Raw genomic sequence first — 15651 nt, 5'->3', positions numbered from 1 at the left:
TTTTATTTGCAATAAAATTTAACACCCTTATTAGCTGCATACATAACCTGGTTCCTTTTCAGCCCTTTTATTTCTTGACTCTCCTCACTGCCCCCGCCAGCTGCTCAGCAGGGCTCCTGCCACACTGACCTCCTCTGGGACTCCAAACAATGGGCTCCTGCCCCTGTCATCTTAACTCCTATTTTTCCTACCGCCTGGATGCTTTTCTCCTTGTCTTCCTGTCTCTGAGGTCCCAGCTCAGACACTGCTCACAAGAGAGTCTTTCTCGCCCTGTCTGATGGAGCACCCCTACCCAGTGCCCCAAAGTGTTGATTCTAGCCTTTATTATTATTATTCTGAATAAAACATGGGTTTTATTTGGGGGAACTTACATACAGTGATGGTCCAGCAGCGGCAGGCTGGAGAGGAGAATGATAAGCACTTGTAAAAAGCATGCAGTTTATATAGCACCCTCACGTGGCACCCTCCCCTCAGCAACCTCCATGTGGCAACCCTAGTTTCTTGAGTTATTTCTGTCAGGTACATCTACCACACAGTGTTGCTATTTTTTTAAAAAAATTATCTATATGTAGAAATTAGAATCGATTCTAGCCTCCGAGGCTGTGGCTGCATGGTCCAAAGAGCTCCTCACAGGGTGACTTTCTGGCTGACCCCTGCTAGAGTGTAAGCACCTGAGGGCGAGGCTCTGGCTTCCGCTGTGGAGTTCTGAACAGCTCAAAGCACCTGCCAGGCATTAGTCGCTGCATTTTGAATAAATGGATAGCTGTTTGGCTATGAATGCGTATTGAAAACTGTAAAGTGTTATTCAAACACATGGCATTTTGACTACATGTTTTATAGTCTGTTTTTTACATAGCCTGAGATTGTCAGCAAAGTCAGGTTGTATCATCATTCAGATCCAAGGTTTGATGCTCCATATGGCAGAGGCCCTGCAACACCAAGGCTTCGCGCTGACAGCAACTCCAATGACAGCCCAGGCTGCTCCTCGTGGCACTGCTTGAAAGCATATCTTGAAAGCCAGCCTTCAGCCTGGACAGATGAGCACTTCCAGCTGCTGTTTTTAGCATATTTTCTAAATGGAGGCACTTTAACCACCGGTGCCTTCCGTGTTTGCTGGAATCCTAAATTCAAATATGCATTTTAGGAAGTGATACTGAGACAATGTCTGTGTGACAGCAAACAGGCAACATTTTCAACTCTGTCAAGCACAGAGACCCAGTGACAGACAACCAAGGAATGTATTGTTAGAGGTAAAGCTCTTTGTGGAATAATGTTAATAGTAGATGCTTTAATCACACATTAAAATTCCAAAGCACTTTTCATGAGCGTTACAAATTCCATTTAGCATAGTCCATTGCATTTCTTGTCATAATTGTACTGAGTCACGTTCCTCACTCATATAATAAGCACTGTATTACCAAACAACCATGACTCACTTGACCATTTAGAGAAGTCTCCAATATATTGTCCAATATATGGGAGACATGCTTGACATGGTTGTTTGGTAACAGAGTGCTTATTACATTGTGCATTCATAGCCAGGCAGCTATTCATGTATTCAAAATGTACTGACTAAATGCCTCAAATGGTACTGCCTGGCAGGCACTGTGAACTTTTCAAGACTTCTCTAAAACAGTGGGGTCAAGCCTATGAGGGGACTGCTCGCTAAAGGTGTCAGGTTACATAGCACTGTCAGCCGAACCAAAATGACTTAGCTTTGTGAAAGGAAAATAAAAACTCAGGACCTCAACTCACTATGCCAAAAGGAAAAAATGAAGCTGAAAGCTAAGTCATGCAAGAAACCGCCTTTCCCTTTGTTCCCAAGCAGACAACAGGTTAGTATCGCCACGGCTATCTACTCAACGTTCATTTTATCTCATTAAAGTGTCAGTTTTACGGAGTACAAGAGGAGTTGTAATTGACTAGTTCCCTACCTGCTTCTTTTCTCTTGCCACACGTGGACCACCATATCCTCTCACCTTCGCCTCCAGCCTACTTTTCCCCTTTAGATAGTGAAGCCCTCAAACTCATCTTTGGAGAAAGGCACAGACCAGACTGTTTCTGTGATTCCATGTTTGTGTGTGTGTGTGTGTGTGTGTGTGTGTGTGTCTTCCAGGCATGTCCTTAACCTTGGCAAAATAAATTTGTGAATTGACTGAGACCTCTCTTAGACACTTTTGGTTTACAGTGTGGTTGGGTGCTCAGACTAGTGAGTGTTTTGTTCCATGCATCAAATGACCAGTCGATGGAATCCCTTATCAGCAGAATCCATCTCAATGTGCTTCCAGAAACCGCTGCACGGTTCCACTCATCACAAACACAGTGCCTCCGGATCCTGTCCTACTTGCCCCAAATTCTGTTATTGAACATGGATTGGTTCTTCACATATTTATCTTCACTCCATCAGAGCTTCTGGTACATAATAATGATGGATAAAGAGTAAGAACAGTTTTATGTACCTTCTGATTCTATTTTAAGACTTTTGACCCTTGATAAGAAATTGACTTTGCCCACAAAGGTTTTCTCCTGTTAACTAAATATTTATCTAGAGGAGTAAAACACATGAACTGGGGGGAAAAGGGGATGCCTCCCCGTGTGGGCAAGTCAGCCAAATCCACATGGGGCGTATGGAATGATGGGCATATAAACCAGAACACAGGGACATCTTTGAACATAGCTGATGGAAGCCCCCTCCTGCTCCACTCCCATCATCTTCCTCACACATCCTCACTCTCTGTCCAGTGTATGCAAAGTTCTGCTGCTCCATGAAGCCCTTCTACAATGTTCTATCCTGCAATGCCAGCCTTGTCTGGGTTTTTCATAGCCCTGAAGAACATGACTGTGAATGGTATTTGAGAGCATTTCAGTTAACTTTTCTTACGAGGTAGAAGACATCTCTGCCATAAACCTGTCAGTTGGGTTTTCTTTTCTCCGTATGAACATGTCCAGAAATTGAAAGTTTATGTCATTCATTTTTCTGAAATACTCCTTTTGGTGCTTAGTCACATGCTGCTTTTGTATCGTTAGGGTCTCTGGGGGGAGATGGCACAGCAACGTATCACATGCACTCGAGGTCCAGGTGACCTGGATTTGAGCAGTCACGTGGCACATTCCTAACTGTGTAACCTTGGTCAAGTTACTTCACCTCTCTATAACTCAGCTTTCTCACTTACAAACTTACAAATGGAATCACAACAACAATATAGACATCAGAGGTATTAATATACAAAATGGGCTTAGAATATTACCTACACACAGAAATAAAGGTTACCTCTTATTATTTTTCACTAGATGCATCTTTTGTATCCCCACAGGATTTGGCAAATAAACATCAAACTTAAAAAAAACCAAAGTCCATTTCTGTAACTTATGCTGTGGGATTTGAGAAGCAAAGCCACAGCATAAACATCAAGTGGTACATTTTCTGAGTTCTGTCCAACATCTTTGTCTTAGGCCAGGGACTCATCTAAGCTCATTACAGCCACCACATCCTGAATGTAGAAAGTCAATGGGGCTCCCCAGGATTTAAGGAAGCTGGTGCTTGGCAGGTGCTGAGGCTGCAGGGCAGGTCTGATGAAGGCCTGAAGAGAGGATGGGTTTCACACCACGCCAGAGTCAGGGCAGATGCGACTCAACCCATTAGCTTGAACGGGGTGTAACCACCATTGGGCCCTGGATTTTCACAGCTCCTGGGGGTGCATCCAGGTGTGATTTGGATTCTTTGGTAATTCTGAAAGGTGGTGGGATGGGACAGTTAGGGGTTTCTGCTGCCAGAAACTGAATGCAACATGAATAAGCGGCTTCCCCAGGACCGACGTTGTCATCTCACATTATCAATGGTCTGGAGCCAGGGTGGTTTCAGACTCAGGGCAGGAGTTCAACAATGTTGTTTAGGACTCAGGAGTTGTATTTTCCTTCCCTCTCTGCAGCATCAACATGTTCACCTCTGCTCTGGTTACAAGAGGGATGCAGTGTTCCAGGTGTCACATGGAGATAGCCGGGCATCTCATGAAGACAGGGGCATTTTTGTCCTTTGATACTTTCTATGAATAAGGAAAAAATTATCTGATATCTCCCTTAAAACCTTTCTGGCAGGATTGGGCCCCATAGTGTGCCTTGCTGGAGGAGAGGCTGGAAGGGACAGTACCCGCCATCTTTGTTCTCTCAGGTTGGAGACAGGCCCTGCTGGAGAATGGGGAGGCACGAGGAATAAAGAGGGTCTACTTCAGAGCAGCAGAAAAAATGTTTCTTTCTGGAAATATACTGAAGAACAAAATGTGATATGAAGACATATGGAATATAAAAACAAAGGGTGGACAGGCTGTGTAAAAATGGAATCTGTCACTCATGTCTCCTATTTGATAAATTGGAGTATATATAAATTTACTCAATTTAAATGCAAATATTTGATTTTAGAAAGTCTCATACTCTATATATTATAGGGCAGAAAATTTTCATATCATCGCACACTCTATTAAAGAGGATTTCAAACTATTTTAAAACTGTTCAGCAGCCTTGTAATAAAGTTATCCTCTGAACCTCTTCACACACTTATCAACCTTGACTTATATTACTCCAAATATTTCAGCCTGTTTCTTGAGGATGCTTTACCTTGGGGTCTCTAAGTGTAAAGATTTCCAGTTGTTTCCAGCACATTCTGTCACCTTTGTTCAACTCTCCAACTTTACTTCATTAATGTATATGGATAATGTTCAGTTCCATCACATCTTATGAAGAACTAATGAAGCTCTTCCAGACTTAATTTTAGGATTCAGTGGCTGTCTGGATTCCCTTGTATCAGCATTCACTTTCGTCATCACTTGCCTTGGTAATTTCTCCTTCTCACAACAGCAAATTTCACGACTAACGATGGCCCGAAGGCTCCTTCCCTCCACGGGATTCTGCTCCAGCCACAGCAGAGACTATTTTGCACACCTTCCAGACATTGCTGCCCCATTCCAGGTACCTCAAGGTCAATAAACACAACATGCAAATCTCATCTTATACCCATCAGGAGTATAAACAAGACAGTTGAATGCACACTGTTATCAAACACTTTGTCTCTTACTGTTTTTTAATTTTATTTTTTTGCTGCTTTCAATTGCTGTTTTAAGAACACATTATATCTCCTTTAGGGAATAAATTCAACACAATGAGAAAATTAAGTACATTTTCACGGTTTTAGGGTTTTGAATTCTGTGTCATAACATAGATTTGCTATCTAATCAAAGGAAGTAATGATGATAACATTAATAGCAGCACCACTAACAACAATAGTACTCACAGCACCACTGGTTGCAAAGAGTTTGGGAAAAACTTACAAGCCTCTTAAAACTGAGTTAGTGGATTTTAGCTACTCACCAGCTTTTTACTTTTCTTATATTCTTATATGGGTGCTAACTCTTAAGGACAATACTACTTAACAACTAGTTACAAAAAGTAATGCCCTTCTCTTAGGGAAAAGGTGATAACAACATTTTTGTAAAGTATCCTAAATCCAAAGACTCTTTCTGTAACCTTCCTTTCCCCCTTAGTGTCTCAATATCAAGTTGCAATAGAAGCTTGCTGTTAGTGGATCTGCACTTTAAAATGGTACTTAATATGAATACATAATCAGAAGGGATTTTTTTACTTGTTTTGTGAAAATGAACTGCAAGTCAACTAAGATATTTAAAACAAGGAAAAAGAAAGTCTTCTTCTACAGTGCCTCCAGGGTGAGTCACAGACTTAATCACCTGCTATATTTACCTCATGAAAGAATCAATGCCACTGCTGCAAGTCTTTCATGGTAAAGATTTTGAAAGCCAAGAGCTAAAAATCAATCCTACTACATATGCATCATTCATATGTTCAAAACAGCTCTATAAGAAATCCTGTTGTGTAGTAAATCCTATTAATTTCTCCATGACATTGATACCATAAATTTACCTGCAACCTCATTCTTACCTATATGCATTTGTCATTGTTAAATGAATACCCTTAAGAAACTTCATATTACCACAGATACAAAAAGAGGGATTTTTTAAAAAGTATTCTGCAATCTTAATTCCCCATGTTCAAAGGGCTCAACATAAGCAATTATTGTGAATCCTAATTAAATACTGCAAAACTCATCCTCTTTGTCTACATCAGTCTTCTCATTACAAGAAGGGAAAAGAACTTGTTCTTGACTTTTCTGGCCTGTGTACTATCACTCTTGAACATAGGCATGATATTGAATCTTTCGGAAAGCACTGTGCTTCTATGCAGTGATAAGCCATTAGGATGTGGAGGGAAACATTCATTTTTCCAGATATTACTGCACATTCATGACAGATTTTGAATTCCCTCAGCAGATACAAGTGCCCTTCTTGTCTCATGGACTCAATCAGGAGATATGAAGATTGACAACTGATTGGCAAAAGTGAAGTCACTGTGTGACCTGTCCTGAAAAGATGGTGGCTGCATCTAGAAACAGTGACGTGTTTGGGGAACAATGGAGTAGAGTCAGAGACGCACCTACTAAGACATTTTGGCTGCTGGGCACCTGAACATGAGCAATGTGAAGCTTCCGGTGCGTGTTTCCATAGAGAGTTTTCTGATAATGTGTCAGTTATTTTTAGCCACAAAACACTATAAGACAACTGAGCATGCTTTTCAGTGGCTAACAACTATAAGCATTAATTTTGCTCATGCACTAAGGGATGACTGAGCCCTTCTGCTGGCCTGGGCCACGCCTAACTGATTGCAGCTGGGCTAGCTCTTGCATCAGCTGGTGGATTGGCCTGGGGCAGGCTGGCCTGGGGTAGCTTTGGTTGGGATGATTTTTTTCTGCTCTGTGGTCTTTCATCTTGTGATAGGCTAGTCTCGGCTTTTCCTACAGTGGAGGCAGGGGTCTGAGGGAAGAAGTGGAAACACTTGAGGCCTGGGAGGCCTACTCTGATAATAAGCCAAGTCACCTCTGCTGCATTCTATTGGTTAGAGCAAGCCACAGCTCAGCCCAGACACAAGAGTTGGGCAACACCCTCTACTTCTTGATGAGAGGAGCTAACATGTAACTTTGCAAATGGAATAAATATAGAAAAAGGTGAAAATTCAGGGCCATTTTTGCAATCAGTCCATTACAGATGGTTTATTATTGAGAAACATCTATACATCCATATCCATATAAAATTACATATCTGTATCTATTTTTGATGTTATAGTTGACCCCTGATCCAGAGAAGAAAGGGATAGAGTGTAATAATCTCTGCTTTCTGGTGGATCTCCTGTTGTTGAGTAAAAGGGAATATGATCAGGAAATCACAAATATCAAAAGAATGGAATGGATAACTGACAAATGATTTATATTCCATATGCGTATGTCACATTTAATAAAACAAAATTATGGCTGAGCACAGTGGCTCACACCTATAATCTTAGCACTTTGGAGGCCGAGGAGGGCGGATCACAAGGTCAAGTTTAAGACCAGCCTGAACGACATGGTGAAACCCCGTCTCTACTAAAAATACAAAAATTAGCTGGGCATGGTGGTGCATACCTGTAATCCTAGCTATTCAGGAGGCTGAGGCAGGAGAATCGCTTGAACCCAGGAGGCAGAGGTTGCAGTGAGCTAAGATCGTGCCACTGCACTCCAGCCTGGGTGACAGAGTGAGACTCCATCTCAAACAAACAAACAAACAAACACCCCACAAAACTACATAATAGGAAAATGTACTTGATAATATTAAACTTTTAAGCAGTCCTTTAGAAATGGCTGAGAAAAGTGATTAGGAAAAGGGTGAAAACCTCCAACACTTAGGGAAAATCCTGTAGCTATCAGCGGCAGAAAGCAATCCTTAATTTTCCGTATGTCCCAGAGGGAATGAGAAAGTCAACTGGACTGAGGCTGTAGACCCACAATGGGGTTAGTTTTGTGGGTGGGTGGTGGGGGTGAGCTGATCCCATGAGAGGAACTTCAGGTGTATCATCTTTCCCAGGTGCCAGACAGTGGCTGTGCCTGAGGCTCTGAATGTTTAGTCTCATGCAATTGTTGTAGATTACTCTCCTTAATAGTTCTGTGATATTGTCTTGTTTTCTCATTGTAAATATTCTATATGTGTGTCTTCCAGAACAAAATGGTTTTAGGTAGAAGCAGGTGTAGCACAAAAAGGAAAGAATAATGAATTGAATCTATACTCAATGGATGGTGGAAATCTGACAGTTACATATCTGAAATCAACATTAAAACATAAATACTGACTTTACAGTGTCCTATCCAACACATAGGAATCATATACAGGTCAAGTGGCTGCAATAGGGCAGAACTCTGCCTTTGATTGACCCAGACCATCACCAGCCATGAACTTCAGGGATAGGTGACATGCCCACGAGGGACACATGAGGTTGTGTTTTTCCAGACACGGGTACCTTCCCTCCCACATGTTCTAAGTGTGAGGTGACCTTGTTTGCTCCACAGAGACTGATAGAGTCTAATTCCTCTCCTCTGAACCTTGACTGGCATAAGTGACTCACTTGTAACCAATAATATGTCATGGACATGGTACTGTGACTTTTTTGGCCAGGTCATAAAAGGCCCTGCAGCTTCCTCCAGGTTCTTTTGGAGCACTTGACTCTGCAGACACCCCCAGGCCCCATGATCAAGAGTCCTGGACATGCCGAGGCTTTACTGCACCTCACCCAGCTCAGGAACCAGATGTGAGCAAAAACGCTTCCAGGTGAGAACAGTCGGCAGTTGTTTGACGCTCCCGGAGTGATCCTAAAATCATGAGCCTCGTGAAGCCTTAGGCATCATGGAGTTGGAACAAAACTCTCTAAATTTCTGGCCCACAGAATCCATGAGCATAGTACAATAGTTGTCACCTTACAACACTAAGTTTAGGGTGGTTTATTACACAGAACTATATAACCAGAAAGACCCAGGACAGGATGAGAGTCACAGCAGACGAAGCATCGTGCACCATTTCACTGAGAGTATGTAAACTTGTCACTGTATAGAGGTGCTGTGGTTGTGGGGGTTGAGCTGATCCCACAGGAGACCCTATAGCTGTCTCCTGTGCCAGGTGCCAGGAAGTGGCTATGTCTTAGGCCCAGAATGTTTGGTCTCATTGGGGTGGGGTGGGCAGAGAGGGAAGGGCAAGTATTTGAAAAGGGAAAGCACCTTGGTAATAAACTTTGGACACTTAATTTGACTATTATTTCAGAAATGACTATAATCTGCCAGGCGCGGTGATTCACACCTGTAATCCCAGCACTTTGCGAGGTCAAGGCGGGAGGATCACTGATGTCAGGAGTTTAAGACTAGCCTGGCCAACATGATGAAACCCCATCTCTACTAAAAATACAAAAATTAGCTGGATGTGGTGGTGTGCACCTCTAATCCCAGCTATTCGAGAGGCTGAGGTGGAAGAATTGCTTGAACCCAGGAGGCGGAGGTTGCAGTGGGCTGAGATTGTGCCACTGCACTCCACCCTGGGAGATAGAGTGAGACTCTGTCTCAAAAAGAAAAGAAAAGAAAAAAAAAAAGAAATGAGTATATTCATATGAAAGACACTAAAACTTGAACCTTTACATTTTAATCCATTCTCCACCCCACAATCAAATAGGATCCTCAAGTAAGACAAGAATCATCTCACAAAAGAGACAGTCACATTGATCATGCTAATCAACTTGTAGAATTAAATGTTGAGTCTTGCCACTAGTGGTTACAATGGCTGTATTGATTAAAGTTAGTTGCTTTGTAGAGGCTTTGGGGTTGTGAGATGTAAAATGATCTAAGATGTGAATGCTATTTGTAATTTTTATCAAAACTGAACATTTTCATTCATTGAATTGTATTGACATTTAGCAATATAGGATAAATAATTTAAAGCTGTGTTGCTTTCTATATTACCTTGAGATAATTTGTTTTCTTTGTGTTTTGGTATCTGAAGGAAGTGTCACCCCATTACTGTATCAGATTTATGAAGGTTCATTTGCAGCAATGAATTCCCTGCGTTAGGGTCGCTTTGTACTCATAGGCATCACACTCCCCTCCTTTCATCTGTAAAATGAGCATGGCGTAAGCAAAGAAAAACCCAGTCAAGCACAAATCAGCAAAGGATATCTGAGTCATTTGAGACAGTAGCATCTTGACATCTGGCCCATGGGGGAGAAAACCAGGAAAATAAGTCACAAGAAAAATGAACAAGGCTGTTACAAATAGTGGATAATTATCTAATGAAAATACACAGTTTTAGTTGTATTTTTTCACTTTGCAATTCAATTAATGGTGCAAGATTTCAGCAAATATGTATGTCATCTTATTGAATGTATTTCCTAGTAAATGCCTCATTGAGGCCAGATGTAGAATTACTCAAAAATCAGTCAGCAGTGATCCCAAAAGACACGAATGGTCAAACGTTGCTGCCAAGAGGTGATAGATGAGCTCTCGGTAGAAGCGCCTAGTGATGGGTGAAATATTCATGTTTCTTTTTCCATTTTACAAGGAGATGCTGCTGTGTAAAGAGAGGCCTCTTATCGCATGTGGTTTTGTGGTTGTCTCTGAGCCAGCATGATTACTCACATCAAGAAAAACTGACATATTGGATATTTTGCCAAGTTTTACCTTGGATCAGACAGGTAGAAGAATTAAAAAAGGATATTCACAAAGACACAAAACAAATATTTTAAAAAGAATGAAGTATAGTGAGAAAAGTATGGCAGAAGGTACCGACGCTGTGTTCATTAAACACTGCCGTGCTAGAAAGAGGGCTTGTCTCAGGCACCTAGCCAATATATTCGTACAGGTTTACAATGGCCCTATTTTCTAATATTTAACACATTTATTTTTAAATGTTCAGAAAAATATCTTGTTCTTTGCAATGCCGTGTCTTTTCAGTTCATCTAGATAAGAGAGAGAGAGAGAGAGAGAGACACTCTTCCTTTTTGTGTATTGTCCAGGGTTCTTTTATAACATCAATAATGAGAATGACAATACTACTTCACAATTGCATTGCAAGTTTATAACTTATATATTTCCTCAGTTTATTTGTGCTAAACCTTCTGAGATAAATAAGGCAGTCCTAGGTCAACCAGTGGAATAGCATAAGGAAATTCGAGGGCTTCTATGTTAACTGCTCATATGGAAAAATAATATAAGACTGTGCATTGGCTACCAGGGGATTTGAGTCCCATTTCTAATGCTATTTCTTAATGACTTCAGTGAAGCCACAGAGCTGTTTGTCTTTGTTCCCTCATATATGGAAGTTGAATCCCAAACCAACATTGACCTATTAAATTATGTGATACTCTATTTACTAGAGTTTCCATACAAATGTACATAATACAACTTACACATTTTTAAAAATTCAAAAGCAAGTTGTAATTGTAAAGTAATTTAAGCAAATATGTGTGATATAAATGTGGGTAGACAATATCTTTTCTTATATTAGTAGATGTTTCTTGCTGATAAAGGGGATGAATAGTATAAAGATTAGGCCCTCAGATTCTGCACCCACAGCTACTGAATTTAAATTCTAGCTCAGCTTTACAAAAGTTATCTTGCATTTTTCTGTCTAATTTTCCTTCTCTGTAAAATGGGATGGTAATGGTACTCACTGAGATAATTACTGTGAAGATGAAATGAAGAGATATATGTACTTAAAAGAAGGCTCACACATGTTAATTACTACATGAAAGTTTGTTATTGTTAAATGCTGGTAAACATTTTAGTAGCAATTGCCCTATCTTGAATTCTCACTAGTAACTCGTTCAACTCTACCAAACAATGAGTCTTCATTTTACTTTGCATTATCATTTTATTTTACCTAATAAATTTGCTGAGTAGGATTTATACTTCTAGTCACTTGCTTTTGCCATTTTGAGAATAGTTCAGTTGATAAAATGGAGGGGTTTATTTTCCTTTGATATACCAATATTTCCAGTTGTAATTTTTATGGTGTATGTGAGCTCTTTATTGTGATTCTAGATTTGTAACGTATTCTTTCACAGCGTAAACCTTTGAAAGTGAGACCGGTATATGTAATTTGGAGATAATTGTTTTTTGGGAAAGTGTTGCTCAGTAAATGAAGGTGAAATAGTCACATAGAATGAGTCAAACACCATGATGTCTCTTAAACTCTCTTAAAATATTTTTAAAGGCAGATGTGACTTAGTGCTTTCATATCTAAGCTATAATCTGGCTTGTAGCCAGCTCCAAATATTTTCCCTTAAATTGAATTATTCAACTAATTGGTAACTCTTGAATATTTGTCAGGTAATTGCTAAGTGCAAGGGAGTATGGGAAAAGATTACATTCTACTCTGTGGTGTATTTGCATTGACATAAATAGTAGCCAGCTCCAAATATTTTCCCTTAAATTGAATTATTTGACTAATTGATAACTCTTGAATATTTGTCAGGTAATTGCTAAGTGCAAGGGAGTATGGGAAAATATTACATTCTACTTTGTGGTATATTTGCATTGACATAAATAGTACACTGATTTACATAACATGGAATGATGCAGCATTGTAGATCCCAAGATTATGGGAAGCCTAGTTTGGGAAGCAGAGACAGATATATTTTCATGTTCCTAATATTGTGTGTGTGTGTGTGTGTGTGTGTGTGTGTGCACGCGCATTTTCCTGTACCTGTATCTATATCTGTGTGTATATTTGACAAAAAGCAACTTGATCATAGATTTTGGTAACCATATGTACAACTGCATATTTTAACAGATTGTTTTCCTTTTATTTAATTAAAAAAGAAAAAATTAATTTGCTTATATTCTGTCATATACTTTTGATTTTAATAATAATTTTAAGGCATTATTTTGGAACTAAATCAATTGAAACTATATGGTCCATGCAGTTTTTTTCTGAATTCATTATTTGCTAACATAGTCTGCCATACTTGAACAGAATGCAGTAGTAAAGAGGTTTGGACACAGGCCAAGTAACAATAAATTTCTCACATTCTTGTTGACTCCCCTAGTTTATAAATTTCAAAACATTGTGAAAGTTTGCCAAAGAAATAGTGTTTGGTCTAAATATTGAAGAAATGGTAGACAGTAAATAAGAGTGGAATCATTTGAAACCAACAAAGCACAGAAAAATACAAAGAAAAGTTGAGATTCTATAGACAACATAAAGATGCTTAAATAACTTAAGAGCCTATCATATTCCAGTAACATTTAGAACTTGTCATATTAATGACGTTGATAATGTCATAAATCTTTGTTTATGATTAATGAATAAGATGTAACACTATGATATAAAATTTAATGATTCGCTATTTCAATCAAATGGAAGAAAAATTTATTTTTAGATTATTTTAAATTAAGTAAAAAAAAAAATCATTTGAAGTTTGTAAGTTCCACTGGAAAAATTGAGTTTTGGATGTCTCAGTGGACTGGATTTATCATTTAAACAATGTATTCAGTTTTATGTTGTCAGTTATGACCAATGAAGCTTTTCAGTTTAAAGCACATGCTTTCAACTCTTTTATGAGAATTAATACTTAAAGCAATGATATAGGACACTTGTTCAATAATCTTCTATCAAATTTTCATCCCTTGAAATCTTTTAAATTGATGGGAACACTCTCTGCATGTCCCTCAAATGAGTCTACAGGGAGGCATCATGCAATTCGGCCTGCTTTATGTCTCTTCCTTATCACTATTCAACTATTGATACTATTATAGTTTGTTCTTTTCTCCAAGGGTACATAACAAAAGAAGAATATTATAGTGAAAACGATCCAATTTTAATAAAATAGATAACGTAATTGGCATTTTTTCCCACACAGGGATTCTAATAAATTTAACAAAAGTGCATTTTATTTTTACTTTGTTCACATACAATTTTTCTTTCAAATTTTCCCCAAAGTTCTGTCTTTTTCAAATACCAAATAAATGCTTTTAATTTCAAAAACAAAACTTTTAGGATATCTGGCTTCCATCAGGAGAAAAACTTTTCAGGGATATTTTTGATTTATGATTAAAGAACTCAGGAAACAGAACTGTTAACTGTGTGCATTTAACATTTACTCAGCTTGGTTTATTGAAGACCTGTTACCTTCTTGGTACTTTGCTAGGTGTGGGATACAATTTTGGGCAAGAGGAAGATAGACTTTACATTCCTGAAGATTATAGTCAACTGAATGAGCATTCCCCTCAAAATCTGCTCTTTCAGAAAATGAAAGCAAAGAAATCTCTATCTGGTAAACTTATGGTTAGTATAATCTAACAGTCTATTTATGACAGGACTGCCAAACATATTACTTCGGCAAATATGTCAGTTGATTTACATGATGTTGACCCTCTGGAATCATATTCAAGGTTTACTTATGGAGTCAACAAACACTTATGGGACATGAAGTAGCATGTAAACACTTGAGAGTTTTAACTTATTGTATACCTAGCGCTGTACGGTACTTAGGAATGCTCAATAAATGTTTGTGGAATTCATGAATAGAAGATTAGATGCATGTACCACCACCTGGAGATACCAGCTTAATTCTTGTCCTCAAGGTTACGCCCTTGTGGAAGAAATAGACAAATGTTTGTTGCACTTTTAATTAGGCCCGTGATAAAGAGAAGCCCATGTGTTCCTCCCAGGGGTAGGGAAGGCTTTCTGCAGGCTGAAATGGCTTTGAGAGATCTCTAGGTGTTAGATAATGAGGAAGGAAATTTTATTTAGTTAGCTGTGGAGCATAAATTAAAATTTTATAAGTAATTGAAACAGTGCTACCTAATAGAAATTTCTGTGATGATGAAAATGTCATAAATGTGCAGTGTCCAATGCAGTAGCCATTTACCACGTGTGGCTACGGGGCACTTGAAGTGTGGTTCATGTGGCTTAGGAGCTGAAATTTTAATTTCACTTAATAAAAACTTAAAGAGCCAGGCATGATAGTGGCTATTATTGGATGGCCTTGATTAGGTTGGCAGGGTGAGAGGCTGAGGAACTCGTAAGGAAGCTGTTGCAGTAAATCCAGACATGGTGGGAAAAACACGATTTTTCCCAAGGGCAGTGGGGATAAATATAAAAAGAGGAGTTAAAAGGAGTTTCAGGAAGAGGAGGGAAACCAGGAGACTGCCACTTTCTGGGTGAACAGCCAGGTATGGTGCCCAGTCATTTAGTGCTACAGGGAACAGAGAAGACAGGCCTGTATAGTCAAAGGTGACTCATTATCTTTGAGATACAGAAGAAAAGAAAGACCAAAGATGAAGACATGGGTGAACACTGAGACTTGAGGGGTAGAAATGGGATATATATGCAAGGAAGAAGATTATTATGTAGATGACGTAGAAAGACTCAGAAAACTGTGGGGTTGCTAATTCTAAAAGAGACTCAAGAAAGGATGAAGGGTTAAGTCTCATCAGTCATGGACAGGTGAGGAGAATAAGAACTAAGGAGTATCCAATGGAATGGGCATTCATCTGCCAGAGGTAACAAGAAACACAGTTTCACTCGAGATATGGGTTCTAATGGCTGAGAAATAAGCTCTCGGTGAGGGCAGATAAATGTAGGCTATGTCTTCCAATTTAAACTTTTAACTTTATATTAAAATAATTAAATGATTTTTATGGCTCAATCACTCTTTTATACAAACGTCTCTCAAACAAACTTATATATTAATCTACTGTCAAGAAATACACTGAATTATTCATCAAAAGAAGCATGAAAG

At 39.1% G+C, this 15651-nt stretch overlaps 1 long non-coding RNA gene across 1 annotated transcript in view; it reads left to right on the top strand.

Moving 5' to 3' along the window:
- The window catches only part of LOC105372190 (uncharacterized), a 312925-nt gene that overhangs the window by 712 nt on the left and 296562 nt on the right, over positions 1-15651 (top strand). The gene's annotated exons all lie outside the window — the stretch shown is intronic.

Source organism: Homo sapiens, chromosome 18 (genome assembly GCF_000001405.40).
Source record: "Homo sapiens chromosome 18, GRCh38.p14 Primary Assembly".
NCBI classification, from domain to species: Eukaryota; Metazoa; Chordata; class Mammalia; order Primates; family Hominidae; genus Homo; species Homo sapiens.
Note: the sequence above shows the minus strand (reverse complement) of the source record. Positions and strands in the feature narration are given on the sequence as shown.